The sequence below is a fragment of the Homo sapiens genome, chromosome 20 (assembly GCF_000001405.40).
Source record: "Homo sapiens chromosome 20, GRCh38.p14 Primary Assembly".
In the NCBI taxonomy this organism is placed as follows: domain Eukaryota; kingdom Metazoa; phylum Chordata; class Mammalia; order Primates; family Hominidae; genus Homo; species Homo sapiens.
The window spans coordinates 44,115,134-44,135,327 of record NC_000020.11 but is presented as its reverse complement, the minus strand read 5'-3'; the positions used below and the strand labels follow the sequence as shown (position 1 = coordinate 44,135,327).

The following is a 20,194-nucleotide window of genomic DNA, read 5'->3' as shown; positions in this document are numbered from 1 at the left end:
TTGGAGTCAGACCAGAGAGGTTGGCAGGAGCTAAGTCATGAAGTTACATGAAAGCATTTCCATGTCATCCTTCAGGCACTAGGAAAGGCACTGTGGGGTTTTAAGCAGAGGTTTAAGACCAAATTTTCTGGGGGTGGCCTCTGGGGAAGGTTTCTGGACTAGATGGGGCATAAGAAGGAACGTTTACATCCGGGGTTAGCATCTAGCTGGGCACCCCAGTAGGTATGGTCATGCCAATTGTTAAATATTGAAATAGTCTATACTGGTTTGTCACTAGCAGCCTCCCTGAGCCCCCCAGGCATCCCCCCTACCCCTCTTGGTATTCTGTCCACTTGGTCATTCCCAGCACCCAGCAGCTAAATGGTTAGCCACCTGGCACAGGTGGTTTTATATATATATATAAATATATATATTTTATATATATATATAAATATATATTAATATATATATAAATATATATATTTATATATATATTTATAATAAACATATATTTATGTATATTTATAAATATTTATATATATTTATAATAAATGTATATTTATGTATATTTATAAATATTTTTATATATTTATAATAAATATATCTTTATATATTTATAATAAATATATATTTATAATATATATTAATGTATATATATTTATAATATTTATAAATATATATTTATATATATTTATAATAAATATTTATATATTTATAATAAATATATATTTATTATATTTATAATAAATATATATTTATATATATTTATAATAAATATATATTTATTTATATATATTATAAATATATATTTATTTATATATATTTATTATAAATATATATTATTTATATATAATAAATATATATTATAAATATATATTTATATATATTTATAATAAATATATATTTATATATATTTATAATAAATATATATTTATTTATATATATTTATAATAAATATATATTTATTTATATATATTTATAATAAATATATATATTTATAATAAATATTTATTATATATTTATTATATATTTATAATAAATATTTATTATATTTATAATAAATATTTATATGTATATATAATAAATATTTATTTATATGTATTTATAATAAATATTTATATATATTTATAATAAATATATATTTATATATTTATAATAAATATTTATATATTTATAATAAATATTTATATATTTATAATAAATATTTATTTATATATTTATAATAAATATTTATTTATATATTTATAATAAATATATATTTATAATAAATATATATTTATATATTTATAATAAATATATATTTATATATAAATATATATTTATATATATTTATAATATATATATTTATATATATTTATAATAATATATATTTATATATTATAATATATATTTATTTATATATATTTATAATAAATATATATTTATATATTATAATGTATATTTATTTATATATATTTATAATAAATATATATTTATATATTATAATGTATATTTATTTATATATATTTATAATAAGTATATATTTATTTATATCGCCCCCTGCCTACATCTCAGTCATGCCTTCCAGCTCTAAGAAGGCATTGGAGAGCATCAGATGGAACAGGACCAGCCTGGGAAACTTAGGTTTTTAACCCAGGCCTTTCCCTCTTCTTGCTTGATAGGCAGGAGATTAGACTTGAATCTCCCCTAGGGCCATCCTGCCCTGACATAGAAGGGGAATAGACACCCAGCCCTCTCTGGCCTCTTGCTGGGGCCTCCAGTCAGTCGGCTGGGCACACTGGAAGCCAGTGAGCAAAGGTGCTGGTGATGCGGCTTAGCACAACCTTTGGAATCAGGTAGACTGCCGTTCCATCACAACCCAGAGCTTCCCTGCTGTGTGGCTGCCCCCAAAGGAGGCCTAGTTTCCCTATTCAGTGGACATAATAATACCTGCCTGCTAGGATTGTTGTAAGGAATAAATGAAACCATACTTCTAAAAGGTCTAGTACCAATAGATGTGAGATTTTAAAAATATTTATTTTGGAGTGATTATAATTTATGCACATTCAGAATATCCAGAAGGATCGTATTAGTGTGGGTCCTGGCAGGAAAGGGTCTATTGCAAGGGTTTAATTGGGGAGAGTTTAAAGAAGGTGCTGTTTGCAGAGATGTGGGCAGAAAAATTAACAAGGTATGTTAAGGCATCCAGGACCAGCAGCCATGGGAGCTGTTATACCCCAGGCCTGAAGGGGCAAGAGGTGGGGGACAGGGAAATGGTGTGATGACTGGAGCAGGGATGGGGACGGTGGGGGTGGGTGAGAGTTGCAGCTGTGGAGGGGGGTGGTGGGAGTGGGTGAGAGCTGCAGCTGTGGAGGGGGATGGTGGGGGTGGGTGAGAGCTATAGCTGTGGAGGGGCCCGGTGGGGGTGGGTGAGACCTGCAGGCGTGGAAGGGGGCGGTGGGAGTGGGTGAGAGCTGCAGGTGTGGAGGGGGGTGGTGGGGGTGGATGAGAGCTGCAGGTGTGGGGGGCGGTGGGGGTGGGAGAGCTGCAGATGTAGAGGGGGGCGGTGGGGGTGGGTGAGAGCTGCAGGTGTGGAGGGGGACGGTGGGGGTGGGTGAGAGCTGCAGGTGTGGAGGGGGACGGTGGGGGTGGGTGAGAGCTGCAGGTGTGGAGGGGGACGGTGGGGGTGGGTGAGAGCTGCAGGTGTGGAGGGGGACGGTGGGGGTGGGTGAGAGCTGCAGCTGTGGAGGAGACAGACAGGCAGGAAGAGGGAGAAGTGGAATAGATACCCAGCCCTCTCCGGCCTCGTGCTTGGGCCCTGAATTGACTGGGCGCACTGGAAGCCAGTGAGCAAGGGAGCTAGTGATGCAGGCTGTAGAGATGATCTCCCTGGGCAGAGCTGGGTAGGGAATGGATGGGGTGGGGCAAGGGGGGGAGATGGGGCCAAAGGAAAATAACCAGCCCAAATGTGTGTGTGTGTGTGTGTGTGTGTGTGTGTGTGTGTGTGTGTGTGTCTGTCTGTCTGCCTCCCTTCCACCTCATTCACAGTGGGCAACCTGTATTATAAGTTTCTTACCTATCTTTCCATAAATATTCTCTATATAGAAGAGCAAACAGGTTGTCTGTTTACACAAATGTTACATACAATAGAAATTCTTTTACACCTTGCTACCTGATTTAACATATCTTGGAATTCACTCTTTGTCATACACAAAGATCAATCTTATTCCTAGGATTGGCTACATAATACTCCTTCAAATGGCTATGCCATAATTTAGTTAACCAGCTCTGTACTGCTGGACTTGGCTTTGTTTCCAATCTTTTGCTATTACAGTGTTACAGTAAATACCGTGTAGCTCACAGGCTAATCAGAGAAAGGCAAAGTCACCTGGCAGCTAAGTGCAAGAGATGGTAAGAGCAGACAGCTGGCAGTTAGGGTAAGCTTTCCTGGGGTAGGGTCCTGAAGGATGAGTAGGAGTTCACCAGATAAAGAAGTGAATGATGGGTCTGGGGACAAAAGTTTCCAGAAGTCATTTGGGACTTGTACATGTGTCATTTTGTACAATTTGAGTATATCTGTTGATCACACTCCCAGAAGGGGAATCACTAGCACAAAAATATGTAGATGATGGATTTTTAAAGAAAAAAATGGTTGAACAATTAAATGATAAATGTCAGTATATGGAAACTGGAAAATTACTTAAGTGAATAAATTATAAAAGTATGGCAGGAACAGCTAACCCTTCGATAGTGCTTACTCTGTGCAAGGCACTGTTCTTAGACCTTTGTGGCCATTAACTCATTTAATTTTCATTACCCTATGATGTAGGCACTATTATTATCCCCATTGTGTTAGTTACCCATCACCGCATAACAAATTGTCCCCACATAGAGCAGCTTAAAACAACACACGTTTGTTGTCTTAACAGTTCTGCAGGTCGGGTATCAGGGTATAGCTGAGTCCTCTGGCTCAGGGTCTCTCTTGGGCTGCAGTCCAGGTATTGGCCAGGGCTGTGGTCTCATCTGAAAGCTCCACCAGGGAAATATCCATTTCTCAAACACGTGGTATTGGTAGGATCCAGTTTCTTGCAGCCTATTAGACTGAGGGGCTCAATTCCTCTCCAACATGGCAGCTTGCTTCAGCAAAGCCAGCAAGAGACTCTGGTGGCAAGAGAGAAGTCACAGTCTAAACGAATCATGGAAGTGACATCCCATGACTTTTGCATATTCTGTTCTTTAGATGCATGTCTCTAGGTCCAGCCCACACTCAGGGGGAAGGGATTACGCTAGGATGGGAATACAGGAGCCATATGAGAAATCTGCCTGACATCTCTTACTTTGAAGAAGAGAAAACCAATGCACAGAGGGACTAATTGACTTGTCTAGGTGAAAGCTAGTAAGTCAGGGATTCACACCCACATAGCATGACTTCAGATTCCATGCTATTAACCACCATGCCTCAAAAATGGAATCTTTATTGTGTTCACAGCCCTGATAAAAAATAGGTGTGTACACTGTGTTATAAATGGAGGCCCCCCAAAAAACGAAAAAATAATAGGTGTGCACCTGGACAGACAAGGAAGGCTCAAAAGCTAAAATAGCTATTGCATTAGCAAAGTGACGTCAGCGCACTGTTGCTTTAATGTAATGGTTTTTATAGTTTGTAAAATTTTAAAATCAGGCATAGATTTTTTGAAAAGGAAGTTTCCCCGTGTGGTTTTGGAGTGCTCTGTCAGCTCATGCAGTGAAAGCCTCTTTGCCAGCAGCTAGATCCAGGTTGAACTGCAGGGTCCACTACTCTGTTGGTTGGTGGAGGAGGAGCAAGGCCCGAGGTTCCCTCCCTGTCATTTCATTGGTTGCCAAAGTGCAGCCAGATCTCCGTCCTGCACAGTCAGCCAGGTGATGCCAGGCCCCAGAGAACCAGACTTTCTTGCAGATGTGAAGGATGTGGGGAACATGCTGGTAACCCAGCCCCAGGCCCTCTCAGACAGGCAGCAGGAATATCAGGAATATAAAACTCGGGGGCCTCTTGATATCCCTGGGGGACAAGACTGGGCTGAGGCAACCACAGCTGCTGGGCCCTGTAGAAAGTGGGCAGGAGCTGAAGCGGTGCAGCAGATGCAGGGGTCAGCAAAGGCTTTTGTGCCAGGGAGTCCTGGGTTTGGGCTCAAGCCAACTCTGGACTTACTAGCTATGAGCCATGGGCAAATGATTTTCTGAGCCTGCGTTTCTTCCGCTGTAAAGTGCATCATCTTGAGGATGACATGAGATCACACAGGTTGTTTTGTTTTGTTTTGTTTTGTTGCTGCAGTAACAAATTACTACAAACTCGGTGGCTTAAAACAATACAGATATATTCTTTTACAGTTCTGGAGGTCGGAAGTCTAAAGTCAGATTTCCTTCTGGAGGCTCAAAGGGGAGGATCTTTGTGCTTGTCTTTTCAACCCCTGCTGGCCCTCTGCATTCCTGAGCTTATGGCACCTTCCTCTGTCTTCAAAACACATCACTCCCATCTCTGCTCCCATCATCACATTGGCTTCTCCTCTTCTGTTATCAAATCTCCCTCTTATAAGGACACCTGTGGTTACATTTAGGGCCTTCCTGTCTAATCCAGGATGATCTATCTCAAGATCCTTTATTTAATCACACCTGCAAAGCCCTCTTTGCCATAGAAGGTAACATCCACGGGTTCCAGACACTAGGACCAAATATCTTTGGGGCCATTATTCATTGATGCCTTTGGCTGAGTGTCTGGCGCATAGTTAGCTCTCAGGAAGCAGCAATGGTTTTGTTTTTTTTGTTTTTTTTTTTTTTTTTGAGACAGCCTGGCTCTGTTGCCCAGGCCAGAGTGCAGTGGCGCAATCTCGGCTCACTGCAACCTTTGCCTCCTGGATTCAAGCAATTCTCCTGTCTCAGCCTCTCTAGTAGCTAGGATTACAGATGCGCACCACTGCGCCCAGCAAATTTTTGTATTTTTAGTAGAGACGAAGTTTCACCATGTTGGCCAGGCTGGTCTTGAACTCCTGACCTCAAGTGATCCACCTGCCTCTGCCTCCCAAAGTGCTGGGATTATAGGTGTGAGCCGCCGCGCCCGGCCGCTAAGCAGCAACACTTATTACTTTGCCCGGTCTTCTAGGCTGAGAGCTCACACACCCACTCCCTCACTAGAGGAGGCTTCACTCCAGCTGGAGGCTGGGGGATTTCAGTGGAGCTTCCAAGATGGAGAGGTTCTACATAGGGCCTGAGGGCTATCACAGCCCCCAACCTCAGAATCCCCAACACCACCCTTACTCCTCACCTCAACTAGAACAAATCTGCATCGAGCTTGCTGTGTGCCAGGCCCTGTTCCCAGTGCTTTCTGCTGGTCAGTTCTCTCTCTAATCCCCACAAGCTTATGAGATAGGGGCTCTTCATAACCTCGTTTTACAGATGGAAAAATCAAAGCACAGAGAATTTCAGTAAGTCACCAACAGTCATGCAGCTGTGTTCCTAACCAACTTGGAATACACTACCATGTTAACCGGGTACTGTGACATGCCCCTGTAATCTGAGTTATTTGGGAGGCTGAAGTGGGAGGATAACTTGAGCCCAGGAGTTCAAGGTTGCAGTGAGCTATGATTGCACCACTGCACCCAAGCCTGGGCAACAGAGCGAGACTCTGTATCTTTAAAAAAAAAATGTTAAAAAGAAAAAGACGAAAATATTAATAGCAATTTTTTATTTTTAAAAATGCTCATTTTCCAAAATTTTCTTTGAGGAAGCCATTTTATTTTTATAGTGCATACAATATGTCTTATATTAATATTTATAATATAAAAATAATAAAATACAAATTATGAACATGTCACCCACCCCATGGGCTTTCTCCTGCCCCATAGGCTTGTTCTGCACTCAAGACTTTTTACTTGGTCTTGTCTCTCTTAGCAGACTCTACAACCTTCAAGAGCAGGGGCCATGTCTGCCTTCATTATTACTTTGATTATAACGAGAATGAGCAAATGATCTAACCTCCCTGTGCCTCAGTTTCCTCATCTGTAAAGTGGTGGTAGTACCTACCTCAGAGGGTGGGATGAGCCCTTAGGTTATTTCCCATTTTTTCTTATTAGAAACAGTGTTTGTAGAAGTAAGTAGAAGAACTAAAACCATAAAATTCTTAGATGAAAATATGAGTAAATTTTTTTGACCTTGGATTAGGCAAAACCTTCTTAGCTATGACAAAAGCACAAGTGACAAAAGATAGCTAAATTGGACTCCATTAAAATAAAATAACTTTTGTACTTCAAAGGAAGAAAGTGAAAAGACAGCCCAGAGAATGGGAAAACTATTTGTAAATCATATATATGATAAGTGACTTGCATAAGAATATATAAAGAAATTTTACAACTCAATAATAAGAAGGAAAAAAATCCAATTAAAATCTGGCAACGGATCTGGATAGACATTTATCCTAAGAAGATATACAAGCAGCCGTGAAGCACATAGATGCTCAACATCCATTAGCCATCAGGGAAATGCAAATCAAAACCACAATGACATGGCACTTCCCAAACCTCTAGTATGGCAACAATCAAAACGAAGGATGGGCCGGGCGCGGTGGCTCACGCCTGTAATCCCAGCACTTTGGGAGGCTGAGGCGGGTGGATCACGAGGTCAGGAGATGAGACCATCCTGGCTAACATGATGAAACCCCGTCTCTACTAAAAAATACAAAAAAAAATCAGCCAGGCATGGTGTCGGGTGCCTGTAATCCCAGGTACTCGGGAGGCTGAGGCAGGAGAATCACTTGTACCCGGGAGGCAGAGGTTGCAGTGAGCTGAGATTGCGCCACTGCACTCCAGCCTGGGCGACAGAGCGAGACTCCGTTTCCAAAAAAAAAAAAAAAGAAGGATGATATCAAGTATTAGGGAGGATGTGGAGAAACTGGAACTCTCGTGTATTACCAATGGAACATAATATGATAATATGGTACAGCCATCTCAAGACCAGTTTGGCAGATCCTCAAAAAGTTAAACATAGAGTTACCACAGGACCCAGCAATTCTGCTCCTAGGTATATACTCAAGAGGAATAAAAACATGTCCACCCAAAAACCTGTACACAGATGTCCATAGCAGCATTATTCATAGTAACCAAAAAGTGGAAAGCACCCTAATGTCCATCAACTATTGAACAGGTAAACAAAATATGGTTTATCCACACAATGGAATATTAGTTAGCAATAAAAAGGAATGAAGTACTGATGCATGCTACAATGTGGGTGAACCCTGAAATGATGTTTAGATGACACATCCATATGTTGGCAAATGATAGAATTTTGGAAGTGAATGCTGGTCAGCATTGTTATAATAGTAACAGAAACAATAATGATAGCTAATATTTGTTACGTGCTCAGTTCATGCTAAGCACATTTGTGCTATCTCATTTCAGACTCCCAGTAATTTTGTGAGATTATCCCCCATTTCAGAGTTGAAGAAACTGAGGCCAGAGAGCAAAGGTCAGATATCTAGATGATGGTGCTACAAATTGGGCTTGAGTTTGTGCCCTTAACCTGTCTTGTGAGGGGCTTCCCAGGAGGGCACTGCCTGCCTCATTGACCACTGTCCATGTCTCTAGCACCCAGTTCTGGGCTCCACATAGCAGGGGCTCAGCACACATTTGCCGAATGAGAATGAATGGAGTCCTGGGTGGGGAGAGGAAGGTCCCATGGGTCAGGGCTCCCTGACTGCACCTGCATCCTTGGGGGCGGAGGGGGCTTTCTCCTAGGGAGTTCTCTGGGCCAGTGACTGGACACCCAGCTGTGGTCCTTCCTCTAGATTAGCCTGACCATGGTTGTTCTGGGGTAGATGGTCATGACCAGCCAGAGCTGGGGATGAGGGGCTATTTTGGGAGAGGGTAGGGCAGTGACATCGGAAGCATCCCCACCTCAGGAAGACGCTGGGCAGCATTTTCCCTGTAATCACCTGAGCATCCTCCAGAGAGGCTGGCAGTGGCCTGAGCCAGGGACCCTGATTATCTGCCCCCATCATCCAAACCTACCATGGGATTCCTGGGCTGAAGGATTTTTAAAATTATTATTATACTAAAGTGAACAATTCAGTGGCATTTAGGACATTCAGGATTTCTGTTTCAGTCCCCTTCAAAACACTGTGCCCCCTCCCCCCCTTCTTCCTTCCTTCCTCCCTTCCTTCCTTCCTTCCTTCCTCCCTCCCTCCCTCCCTCCCTCCCTCCCTCTCTCTTTTTCTTCTGATATAGGGTCTTGCTTTGTCACTCAGGCTGAAGTGCAGTGGCATAATCATAGCTCACTGCAGCCTTGACCTCCTGGGCTCAAGCAATCCTCCCACCTCAGCCTTCCAAGTAGCGGGGTCCATTAGCCACCATGCCTGGCTAATGTTTTTATTTTTATTTTTTGTAGAGACGGGGTCTCACTGTGTTGCCCAGGCTAAAACTGCACTTCTCATTTTATGTAACAAGCCCTTAGGTAGCACTTCCTGTGTTCTGAGCCACGTGACTGTAACTAATTTACTCCTCACATCATTCCTTGGAGACGCGTGCCCTTATTATTCCCATTTTACAGATGAGGAGACTGGGCTTAAGGTGATGAGGAGCAGAGCCAGGGTCTGCACCCGGGCAATCTGGCCAGAGTTACCGCCTCTTTGCCACTCCACCATGTGGTTTATAGACTTTGCTCTGAGCCCCTGCTCATCCATGGACTTCCAGAAATGTTGCCTGATTGACCTGGCAGGGCTGCATTGGGCTGCGAGCTCCCCAGGCGGCTGCTGGGTCCTATTCATTTCCATCCTTGGCCCCAGCACATGACGGACCTGGCTCAGAAGTGGTACCAGGAAGGCAGCAGCTTGGTGTCATGGGTAAGAGCTTGGGCAGGTTCACTTTCTAGTGTGTGACCTTGAGAACGTGCCTCCAGCTCTCTGAGGCCATATGTGTTTACACAGGAGGCCATGGCGTAAGGCTGGTCACACAGTGCTCAACAAATAACCAAGATTAATATTATTCATAATAATAGTAGAGGAGACATTCATTGAGTGAATACATTAGTACAGGGGTCGGCAGACTTTTGTAAAGGACTAGATGGTAAATATTGTGGTGTTTGTAGGTCATATGGTCTCTATGACAACTACTCTAGACAATATGAATGAGCATAGTTGTGTTTCAACAAAATTTTGTTTACAGGGACACAGATATCTGGATTTCATATAATTTTCATGTGTCACAAAATGTTACTTTTTTTTTTTTTTTTTTGAGCCAGAGTCTCACTCTGTCACCCAGGCTGGAGTTGGAGTACAGTGGTGCAATCTTGGCTCACTGCAACCTCTGCCTCCCAGATTCAAGTGATTCTCTGCCTCAGCCTTCTAAGTAGCTGGGACTACAGGTGCGCACCACCGTGCCCAGCTGATTTTTGTATTTTTTGGTAGAGACAGGGTTTCGGCATGTTGGCCAGGCTGGTCTTGATCTCCTAGTCTCAAGTGATCCACCCGCCTCAGCATCCCATAGTGCTGGGATTACATGCGTGAGCCACCATGCCTGGCCTTACTTTTTTTTTTTTCTAACCATTCAAATATATAAAAACCATTCATGGGTGGTACAAAAGCTGGCAGCAGGCTGGGTTTAGCCTACCACTGTCATCTGCTGACCCGTGCCCTGGAATGTAACCTCTGCAAGGGATTTTTGTTTCCTTTCTTTCTTTTTTACTTTTTTTTTTAAGATAGAGTTGGGATCTTGCTGTGTTGCCCAGGCTGGTCTCAAACTCCTGGCCTCAAGTGATCCTCCTGCCTCAGCCTTCCAAAGTGCTGGGATTACAGGTGTGAGCCACTGTGCCTGACCATACAAGGGATTTTTGGATGTTCAGTTTGCCTCTATGTCTTCAGTGCCCAGAAAAGTGCCTAGCACATAGTAGGCACTCCATAAAGTTGTATTAAATGAATGAACCAATACATACAGGTGGGTCTTAAACTGACTCTTTAAGGCCAGGATCGCGGCAGGAGGGGAGAGAGCCTTCCAGGTCGGGGAACAGCCTAAGCAAAGGCCTAGAGTCAGGGCAAGTCCGGTGAGGGTCCCCCTTTGGCCCCATAAAGCCACCAATGCCTAGTGGAGACAACTGGGAAACAACCAAGCAGTTATGGGCCTGGGAGGAGAGATGGGGAAAGGAGGCCAGGGTGGGGGCAGGTGCTTTTAGAAGTTGCTCTATTGGGTGAGAGCCCTGCTCCTATCCCAGAAACACCAGCCTTATTTTTAACCCTGCTGACGAAAGTTAATCCGAACGAAATCAAGAAGAGTCTCCCTGTTCCTCCCCCGGCCCCAGTGACTGCTCCCTTCCCCCAAGCAGGGTCAGAGCCATCCTCCAGACCCTCACCCAGAGGCATGGATCCAGAGATGGTGAGTGGTCAGCAGAGCAGGAATGCTTCCTGCATTTCCCCAGCAGGGCCTTGATTCAGGGAGGGACCCTGGTGCTAAAAGGAAAACATCCAAGGCTCCTAGGGGGTTGAGCAGTCTGGGAACAACTTCAAGATGGAGCTGGCTTTTCTCTCCGCCGAACACGTGCTTCTCAAACTTAAGTCAGAATCTGGAATATAAAACACAGATTCCTAGGCTCGTTCCCTTCAAATTCCGATGAGTCGGTCTGGGCAGAGCCCGAGAATTTGTATATCTGAGCTTCCGGGTGATGAAGATACTGGGTGGGGGTCACGGACTGCATTAGGAGAGGCACTGGCCTAGAAGCAATAGCCTCCCAGCCACAGTCATTCCGCCTGCCCTTCACCCCGTGAGCTGCTGGTATACCCCATCCAGACTGCCTTGGGCAAGGGTCTGGAGAGCCTCGAAGGCCATACTAAGTAGCTAGGGTTTTATTTTGAGCACAGTAGGAAGCCTTGCAAAGATTTGAAGCAAGGGGTGAGGCCACGGGTGTGTGGTTAAGCAAGCTCGCTGAGCCGCTGTGTGTAGGAGCAGCTGTAGGAGTGAGCCTGCAGGCAGGGGAGACCCATGGGAAGGGGTGCAGGAGGAGTGGCAGAGGGTTCTAAGAGTTATAAAGGGAGCCGGAGAGACCAGTGTTGGTGATTGATGGGCTGTGGATGTGGAAGGAGGTGGGGAGGGAGGGTGCTGAAGAACACCGGGATTCCTGGCCTGAAGGCTGGGATCAGAGATTGGGAGCATGGGACAGGGGAGAAGGGCTGATAGGATGCAGCGGGCCGGGTGGTTGGAGATGGACAGGGAGTATGCTTGCTTCCAGCACAGCAGCCCTCATTGCCCTGGGCTGTGTGGCCGCCCCTGTTCTGGCTGTGCACAGTGGGTCCCCCAGAATCTTCCAGGGCTGTGGGGAGAGGCTGCCTTTCCTGCCTGAGGAGTCCTCAACCCAGCTTCCAAAGGCACCAGAAAGTGGGCATCTTTCTGCTCACATGACCAAAAAAAGGGCATTTTCTCAGTTTGAAGGCTTGCCCAGCCCTTTCCCTCCTCCTCCCTCCTGGGGTTTCATGTGCCCAGAGAAGTGGCTCTAAAAAGTTTAGAACTTTGTCTCACACATACTCACGTGCAGGCAAAAATAAGCCTGGGGATATGCATGTAGCACACTCAGTTTTGATGTACAGATGTCATTCTCCTCCTCCTCTTTCACCACCGCCACCAACACCCCATCATCGTCATCATCAAGACCAAACACTTTCACGCGTTGCCTCTCACTTAGTTTTCACGGCAACTTCAGGAGGGGAGAATTACTATCTCCACTTTACAGATGAAGAAACTGAGGCACAGAGAGGTAAAGCCATGCATGCACCCAAGGTCCTAGACTCCCAGTGGGGTGAGGTGAGTGAGTAAGTGAGGGATCCAAGTGCAGGGTCCAATCCAGGCTTTATTTAAAATTTTCTTCATAGGTTGTTCATCAAGGATTTATTTTTGCATTAATTTAGACTTTTAAAATATTGCATTAAAATGTGATTCCTCTTGATCACTGAGTTTTTTGGCAACCCCATAAATTTTGCCCCTGAGGCGAGTGCCTCGGTCATCTCATTCTGTCCCTGGCCTTGGCAGAGCCCAAATTGGAATCCAGGCCTGTTAATTCTAAAACTGTGTGCTCTTAACTCTTCCCTAGGCTGTCTCCTTGCCCCTACATATGTGCACGCCTGCATGCGTGCCTTCAGCCATGTATTCATTCAGTAAGCATTACTATGGCAATATGGCATAGTGGAGAGGCAGGGGCTTGGACATCAGACAGCTCCAGGTTTAGAATCTTACTCTGCTGCTTGTTATTGAATGGAAATTGAGCCTGTGGTTAGGATACAGACTCTAGATCCCAGAATGCTTTGGTTTGAATCCTTACTCTGGTACTTACTAGCTATGTAAGCTTGGGTGAATTCTTTTTTTCTTTCTGAGATGCAGTCTTGCTCAGTTGCCCAGGCTGGAGTGCAATGGTGTGATAATAGCTCACTGCAGCCTCGATCTCCTGGGCTCAAGCAATCCCCCCGCTGACCTCAGCCTCCTGAGTAGCTGGGACTACAGGTGTGCGCCACCACACCTGGCTAATTTTTTTTTTTTAATTGTTAGTAGAGACAAGGTCTTGGTATGTTGCTTAGGCTGGTCTTGAACTCCTGAGCTCAAGTGATCTTCCTGCCTCAGCCTCCCAAAGTGCTGGGATTACAAGCACGAGCCACCATGCTGGCTTGGGTTCTTTAGAATACTCCTTTGCCTTGGATGTCTCCTCTGTAGAGAGGGATGATAGGAATAACATCTACCCTGTAGAGTTATTGGGGGGTTAAGTTAATTTCTGTAAAGCCCTTGGCATATACTAAGTGCTTTGTAAATGTTAACTCCTATTTTGTTTCCTTGAGCAAGACACCTTTCTGAACCTCAGTTTCCCCACCTGTGAAGTAGGGACCGGTAAACACTACCTCACTACCTCACAGTTTTGAGGTTTGTAAGGGATAAAAGCCCTGGTGCCTAGTAGAAGCTTAAGGGAATTTATCCCCCTTACCGTGCGCCCAGTTCTCTGCTGTAGACTGAGATAAAGACACACACACATCAGCTCCCCAGGGAATTAACTCATCTGTAGAGAGTGGACACTCTGACTTGGCTTTGCAGCTCCTCGAAGGCACAAAGCTCTTCCTCAGTCTCAGAGTCTTTGCACATGCCCTTCTGTCTACCTGGCTCATTGACCCGCCCACCTCTTAGGGGCCTAACGTATGTGTTTCTTCAAGTCTCAACTCAAATGTCAACTTCCTCAAGGAATCCTTTCCTGACCAGCCCACCTCCACCACCCATCAACATTAAGTCTTTCTGTCCTGCATTTTCATTGTATTCTCTACTCCTCCTTCACGGCATATTTCACAATTATAATTAGGTACTTTTTATTTAATTGCATTTTATTAAATAGTTTTTGTGTCTGTTTACTAGCCAGCTCCCTCATCTGACAGTAGCCTTTCTGGTCCACAGAGTCTCTGTCCTCAGTTCCTGGCCATGCTCAGCTCCTGGCACAGGCTCTGGCACATGCTCAGCTACTGGTATAGAGCAAGCTTGTCTAACCCTTGCCCATGGGCCCCATGCAGCCCAGGACAGCTTTGAATGTGGCCCAACACGAATTCGTAAACTCTATTAAAATGTTATGGGATTTTTTTTGTGATTTGTTTTTTTTAAGCTTATCAGCTATCGTTAGTGTTAGTGTATTTTCTGTGTGGTCCATGACAATTCTTCTTCTTCTGGCCCATGGAAGCCAAAAGATTGGACACCACTGCCCTAGAGTTACGTTGCCTGGGTTCAAAATCCCAGTTCCTGCACTTCAGGACTCTGTGACCTTGGGCAAATTGCTTAACCTGTTTGCACTTCAATTTTCTTTTCTGTAAAATAGGGATAATAATAACAGCACCAGCTTCCTAAGGCATTAGAATGAGCATATGAGATAATCTTCATAACTCCTTTAGAACCATGCCTGGCCCATTAGGAAATTGGACTGTTATTACTTTAGTAGGTACTTCTGTGAGTTAAGCTAAGCTGACAGCTGAAACAGACATCTCCCAAATCTCAGGTACTTAAGACAATGAATATTTAAAATTTGCTCCTGTCACGTGCAACTGTGGGGCTGTGGGAAGGGGCTTTGCTCCATGCAATCATTTATGGGCTCACATTTCTTAACTTGGAGTCCACAGGAGGGTCTGTGGATAGATTTCAGGGGTCCATGAACTTGGACGGTGTAGGTTAGATTCCCTAGAAGTAGAGCCTGAAGTGGGGATTCTTGTGTAAGTGATTTACTGAGGGAGGCTTTCAGGAGAGAGAAGAATGAGAGGCAGGATGGCGTAGGGAAGGAGATGAGCTGAGATGTGGTCTCAGCTGGAGACCTGCTTCAGCCAGTCCACCGGGGGCTCTGGAGCATGGATTGTACCTGCTGCAGCTGGAGTTCCTTCCTCTTGAGGCAAGAGGAGGCTGACCAGTACCAGTCATTGGTATGGGCTGCCTAGGTTTAGGGGTAGGCAGGGCAGGATTTTTTTTTTTTTTTTTTTTTTGAGATGGAGTCTCACCCTGTTGCCCAGGCTGGAATGCACTGGCGCAATCTCGGCTCACTGCAAGCTCCGCCTCCTGGGTTCATGCCATTCTCCTGCCTTAGCCTCCCGAGTACCTGGGACTACAGGCGCCCGCCACCATGCCCGGCTAATTTTTTGTATTTTTTAGTAGAGATGGGGTTTCACCATGTTAGCCAGGATGGTCTCCATCTCCTGACCTCGTGATCCGCCTGCCTTGGCCTCCCAAAGTGTTGGGATTACAGGCGTGAGCCACCGTGCCTGGCTGGCAGGGCAGTATTTTAACTTCTGGAACAAGGTGGCTTCTATGGGCTACAATTCTCTGGGGTAGTAAGGAGCCATTAGCAGCCAACACTCACATCAGCCGGGGGTAGGCACATTTGCCCAGTGAAGGGATCTGCATAGGGCACCAGAAGTACCCACTACAATGAGAAAAGCTACATCTGTATTTTTATTAACTCCAACTGAAATGTAGCCTTCTCTTCAATTATGGAAATAGGCAATAAACCATAATAGTAGTAGTAGCAGCTGTGACTTTGTCACCAATAGAAATCTCATATATTTTCATGTCATATTATATGTTGTAATTAGATATCCTTGAAATATCCTTTATGCTTATCTATACTTTAAAATTACAGTAGTTAACAGACCTGATATTTTGTTTAATGTGATTATAAAGATATAGATTATTATTTTACAAATGTGTTCTTTTAAATATTTTGGAAACAGTATGTCAAGTAACTGCATCCTTTTGTAATCCTATGTATATTATTATGCATTCAAAAACATTATTCTGAGAAGGGATCCATAGGCTTCACCACACTGCCAAAGGGATCTGTGACACAGAAGTTAAGTCCCTATTCTGGGGACTCAGCCTGCTCTGCATTCAACCAGCAATGCTGGGGAAAAAAGAGAGGGCACAGAAGTTTTTATGGGCCAAGCCTGGAAATAGCATACATGATGTCTTCCCATAATGCACTGGCCAGAACTCAGTCACCTGACCACACCTAACTGCAAGGGAGGTTGGGAAAGGTAGTCTATCTAAGTGCTCAGAAAGAAGAAGAAATGATCTGGAGAATGCATAGCAGTCTGGGCCATGAGGCTCAATAAATATTCATTGACTGCCTGCGTGAAAGAATGCTGTGTTTAGCATGTCTCTTTGTGGGTTGGGGAGAAGGGGCAGAAGGCTGGTTCTCTGGAAGGATCCTGAGTCTTCTGCCACATTGTCTCCATAGGACAAGCCACGCCAAGGCCAAAGCTGAGGCAGCGGAACAGGCCGCCCTGGCTGCCAACCAGGAGTCCAACATTGCTCGCACTTTGGCCAGGGAGCTGGCTCCGGACTTCTACCAGCCAGGTAGGGCCAGCCAGGGAAGGATGGGCAGGGTAGGGCTATCCCTAGGGTGGGCGCTTTTCTTTGCTTACTGGAATCTGAGATGCCCAAGTGGTTTCCTGGATGCCCGTGAGTCTCAGAAACTGGGGCATGGTGCAAATGTGGGATGGGATGATGCAGGGGTAGGTGGGGAGACACATCTCTGCCTTCATGCTGAGCTCGAGGGGAGGGCAGCAGAGTCACTCCAAGTGGTCTTTTCTCTCTGCTCTGAGCAGGGAAGACAGTTGGAGCTGGTGAAGCTTAGAGGAGAGAAGTCACTGGTGGATGAGAGGGAAAAATGGCTTCTTGCACTTGCCCAACAGTTTCAGTCAAGCATTGAGCACTGTCCATGTGTCAGGCACTGTACCAGGCTCTGGGGTTACATAAGTGGGTTCCAAAATCTAGGGGAGCAGAGAGTCACAAAAACAACAGAGCTAGGGGTACCATAAACAGACTCTGCATTCATTCAAACCCTGATTCCGCTGCTTCCCAGCTGTGAGACTTTGAGTGAGGTGTTTAACCTCTGTAAACCTCAGTTTCCTGATCTGTAAAATGGTAGTAAGAATGGTGCCTGCTTTTTTGTGCATGGATTAAATGCATGTAAGGTACATTCCCAGTCCTCAGTAAGCTCTCAGTGACTGTGGCTGTTGTTTCATGATTATGGTTCCATTTCACACAGCAGGATGAGCACTGTGCGGTTAGAATGGGAGAGGAGGGAGCTCACAGGAAGCAGTTAGGCAAGAGGAAGTGTTAGAGAAGGCTGCCCTCAGGAGAGGCCATTTGAGCTGAATCTTGCAGGCTGAACAAGAGTCTATCAAGTCAGTGGGTCTCAAATTTGACACAGATTGCTGGGTCCACCCCCAGAGTTTCTGATTCAGTAGGTCTCAGGTGGAGCCCATGAATGAATGTGCATTTCTAAGGATCAGGCGATGTGGATACTGCTAGTCTGAGACCACACTTTGAGAGCTGCTGTACCAGATAGCGCTGGGTGGGATGAGTGGAGGAGGTGCAAAGGCACAGAAACTCGGACAGAGCAGCATGCCAGGAAGCCACATCACAAAGTAGGCTGTGGGTCCTGAGAATCGAGGCTGCAGAGTAAGGAGGACCTCCCGGCCTTGGTAGAGATCTGGCACATGGATAGAGTGGTGGGAACCCCTGAGGGACAGAGATGGGGATTCTCTGCGATGAAGGTTTTGTTTTTTTGTTTTTTTTGAGACGGAGTCTCGCTCTGTCACCAGGCTGGAGTGCAGTGGCGCGATCTCAGCTCACTGCAACTTCCGACTCCCTGGTTCAAGCAATTCTCCTGCCTCGGCCTCCTGAGTAGCTGGGATTACAGGCACGCGCCACCATGCCCAGCTAATTTTTGTATTTTTAGTAGAGACAGCATTTCACTATGTTGGCCAGGATCGTCTCGATCTCCTGACCTTGTGATCCGCGCGCCTCGGCCTCCCAAAGTGCTGGGATTACAGGCGTGAGCCACCGCGCCCAGCCATGAAGGGTTTTTAAGTTAATGACATGATCAGATGTGTGTTTTCTAAACGTGATCCTGGCTGCAGAAAGGAGGCCAAAGGAGGCCTGATGAAAAACCTAGGAGCGAAAACCTATGCCTGGGAGGATCCCTCACTTCTGGTCACAGCGCTCCCCCTGCTGGTCTATGCCGGTGCGGGGCCCTGAGCTCCGCCTTTGACATGCATTTTCTCAATCCTTCCATTCGTATTTATAAAATAGGTATGATCAGGCCCATGTTTCAGATAAGGGAATGGAAAGAGACGCGTGCCAAAGTAAAGGGCATCGCCTCTGGAGCCAGACTGCTGGGTGCTAGTCCTGGCTCTGCCCTTCGACAGCTGTGTGTCTTTGGGCAAGTGATTTAACCTCTCAGAGCCTCCCTTTGAGGTTCACAGTAGCATCAACTTCATAGGGATACTACAGGGATTAGATGAGTTAATATTTGGAAAGTGCTTGGAACAGTGCCTGGCACTTGGTCAGTGCTATGTGAGTGCCGACTGAGCCCATGAATGAGGCTCGAGAGGTGAAGTGGCTGGCCCAGGATCACCCAACAGTGGTGCGGGGTTCGAGCCCAGCCTCCCTGTGTTGCCCTGGCAGGTCCGGAATATCAGAAGCGCCGGCTGCTGCAGGAGATCCTGGAGAACTCGGAGAGCCTGCTGGAGCCCCCCGACCGGGGCGCCGGCGCAGCGGGCCTCCCACAGCCGCCCCGCGAGAGCCCGCAGCTGCACGAGCGTGAGACCCCTCGGCCCGAGGGTGGCTCCCCGTCACCGGCCGGGACGCCCCCGCAGCCCAAGCGGCCCAGGCCCGGGGTGTCCAAGGACGGCCTGCTGAGCCCAGGCGCCTGGAACGGCGAGCCCAGCGGTGAGGGCAGCCGGTCAGTCACTCCGTCCGAGGGCGCGGGCCGCCGCAGCCCCGCGCGTCCAGCCACCGAGCGCATGGCCATCGAGGCTCTGCAGGCACCGCCTGCGCCGTCGCGGGAGCCGGAGGTGGCGCTTTACCAGGGCTACCACAGCTATGCTGTGCGCACCACGCCGCCCGAGCCCCCACCCTTTGAGGACCAGCCCGAGCCCGAGGTCTCCGGGTCCGAGTCCGCGCCCTCGTCCCCGGCCACCGCCCCGCTGCAGGCCCCCACGCTCCGAGGCCCCGAGCCTGCACGCGAGACCCCCGCCAAGCTGGAGCCCAAGCCCATCATCCCCAAAGCCGAGCCCAGGGCCAAGGCCCGCAAGACTGAGGCTCGAGGGCTGACCAAGGCGGGGGCCAAGAAGAAGGCGCGGAAGGAGGCCGCACTGGCGGCAGAGGCGGAGGTGGAGGTGGAAGAGGTGAGGCTGTCGGGCAAGGTGTGCCTAAGGTCGGGTTCCCTAGAGGTAGCAGGGCTTGAGGGAGGATTCAGGGGCAGGGGATTTGGGGGTTGCTGGGGTGCGAGAGACCGAAGCAGGATAGAGCAGGAGGAAATGCTGCAGGGCTGGGGATTAGGGGAGCATAGCCTTGGCTTGGTCCACAGAGGACGTTGGAGCGTAAATGGCCGCATGGAGTCCTCCTACCTTTGCACCTGGTATCCCATTGGCAGAGACAGTTCTCATGAGCAGGGGCAGCTGGGAGCCTGAGCAGCTGGAGGGTGGGTCCATTTGCCCAGTCAGGGGGGTTGGGCTGGGCACCAGCAGCATCTGCTACAAGGTGTAGCAGTGAGGGCTTCATGGAGGTGGAAGAAGGGCCCAACAGGATTTGGGTTATAGACCTCCTGACTTATGGGAGGCAGGGAGCTAGGAACGGCGGCAACAAAGACTGAAGCTGGGCTTTGGGGGACTGAAGAATGCGTCCCAAGGGGAATTAGCAGGATGCCTGGGTTCCAG

The 20,194-nt window shown here is 46.6% G+C and overlaps 1 protein-coding gene across 1 annotated transcript in view, besides 1 other annotated feature; it reads left to right on the top strand.

Moving 5' to 3' along the window:
- The window catches only part of JPH2 (junctophilin 2), an 80,599-nt gene that overhangs the window by 51,861 nt on the left and 8,544 nt on the right, over nucleotides 1–20,194 (top strand). Inside the window, exons 3-4 of the mRNA NM_020433.5 lie at nucleotides 16,705–16,823; nucleotides 18,942–19,663. Of these exons, the coding sequence (NP_065166.2) occupies nucleotides 16,705–16,823; nucleotides 18,942–19,663 (841 nt within the window). The remainder of the gene's footprint in view (nucleotides 1–16,704; nucleotides 16,824–18,941; nucleotides 19,664–20,194) is intronic.
- Nucleotides 18,385–18,679: an enhancer, noted in NCBI's record as "tiled region #3924; K562 Activating DNase unmatched - State 12:CtcfO". NCBI's record gives its function as "activates a minimal TATA promoter and a strong SV40 promoter by Sharpr-MPRA in K562 cells {active_cell/tissue: K562}" and the evidence as "EXISTENCE:reporter gene assay evidence [ECO:0000049][PMID:27701403]".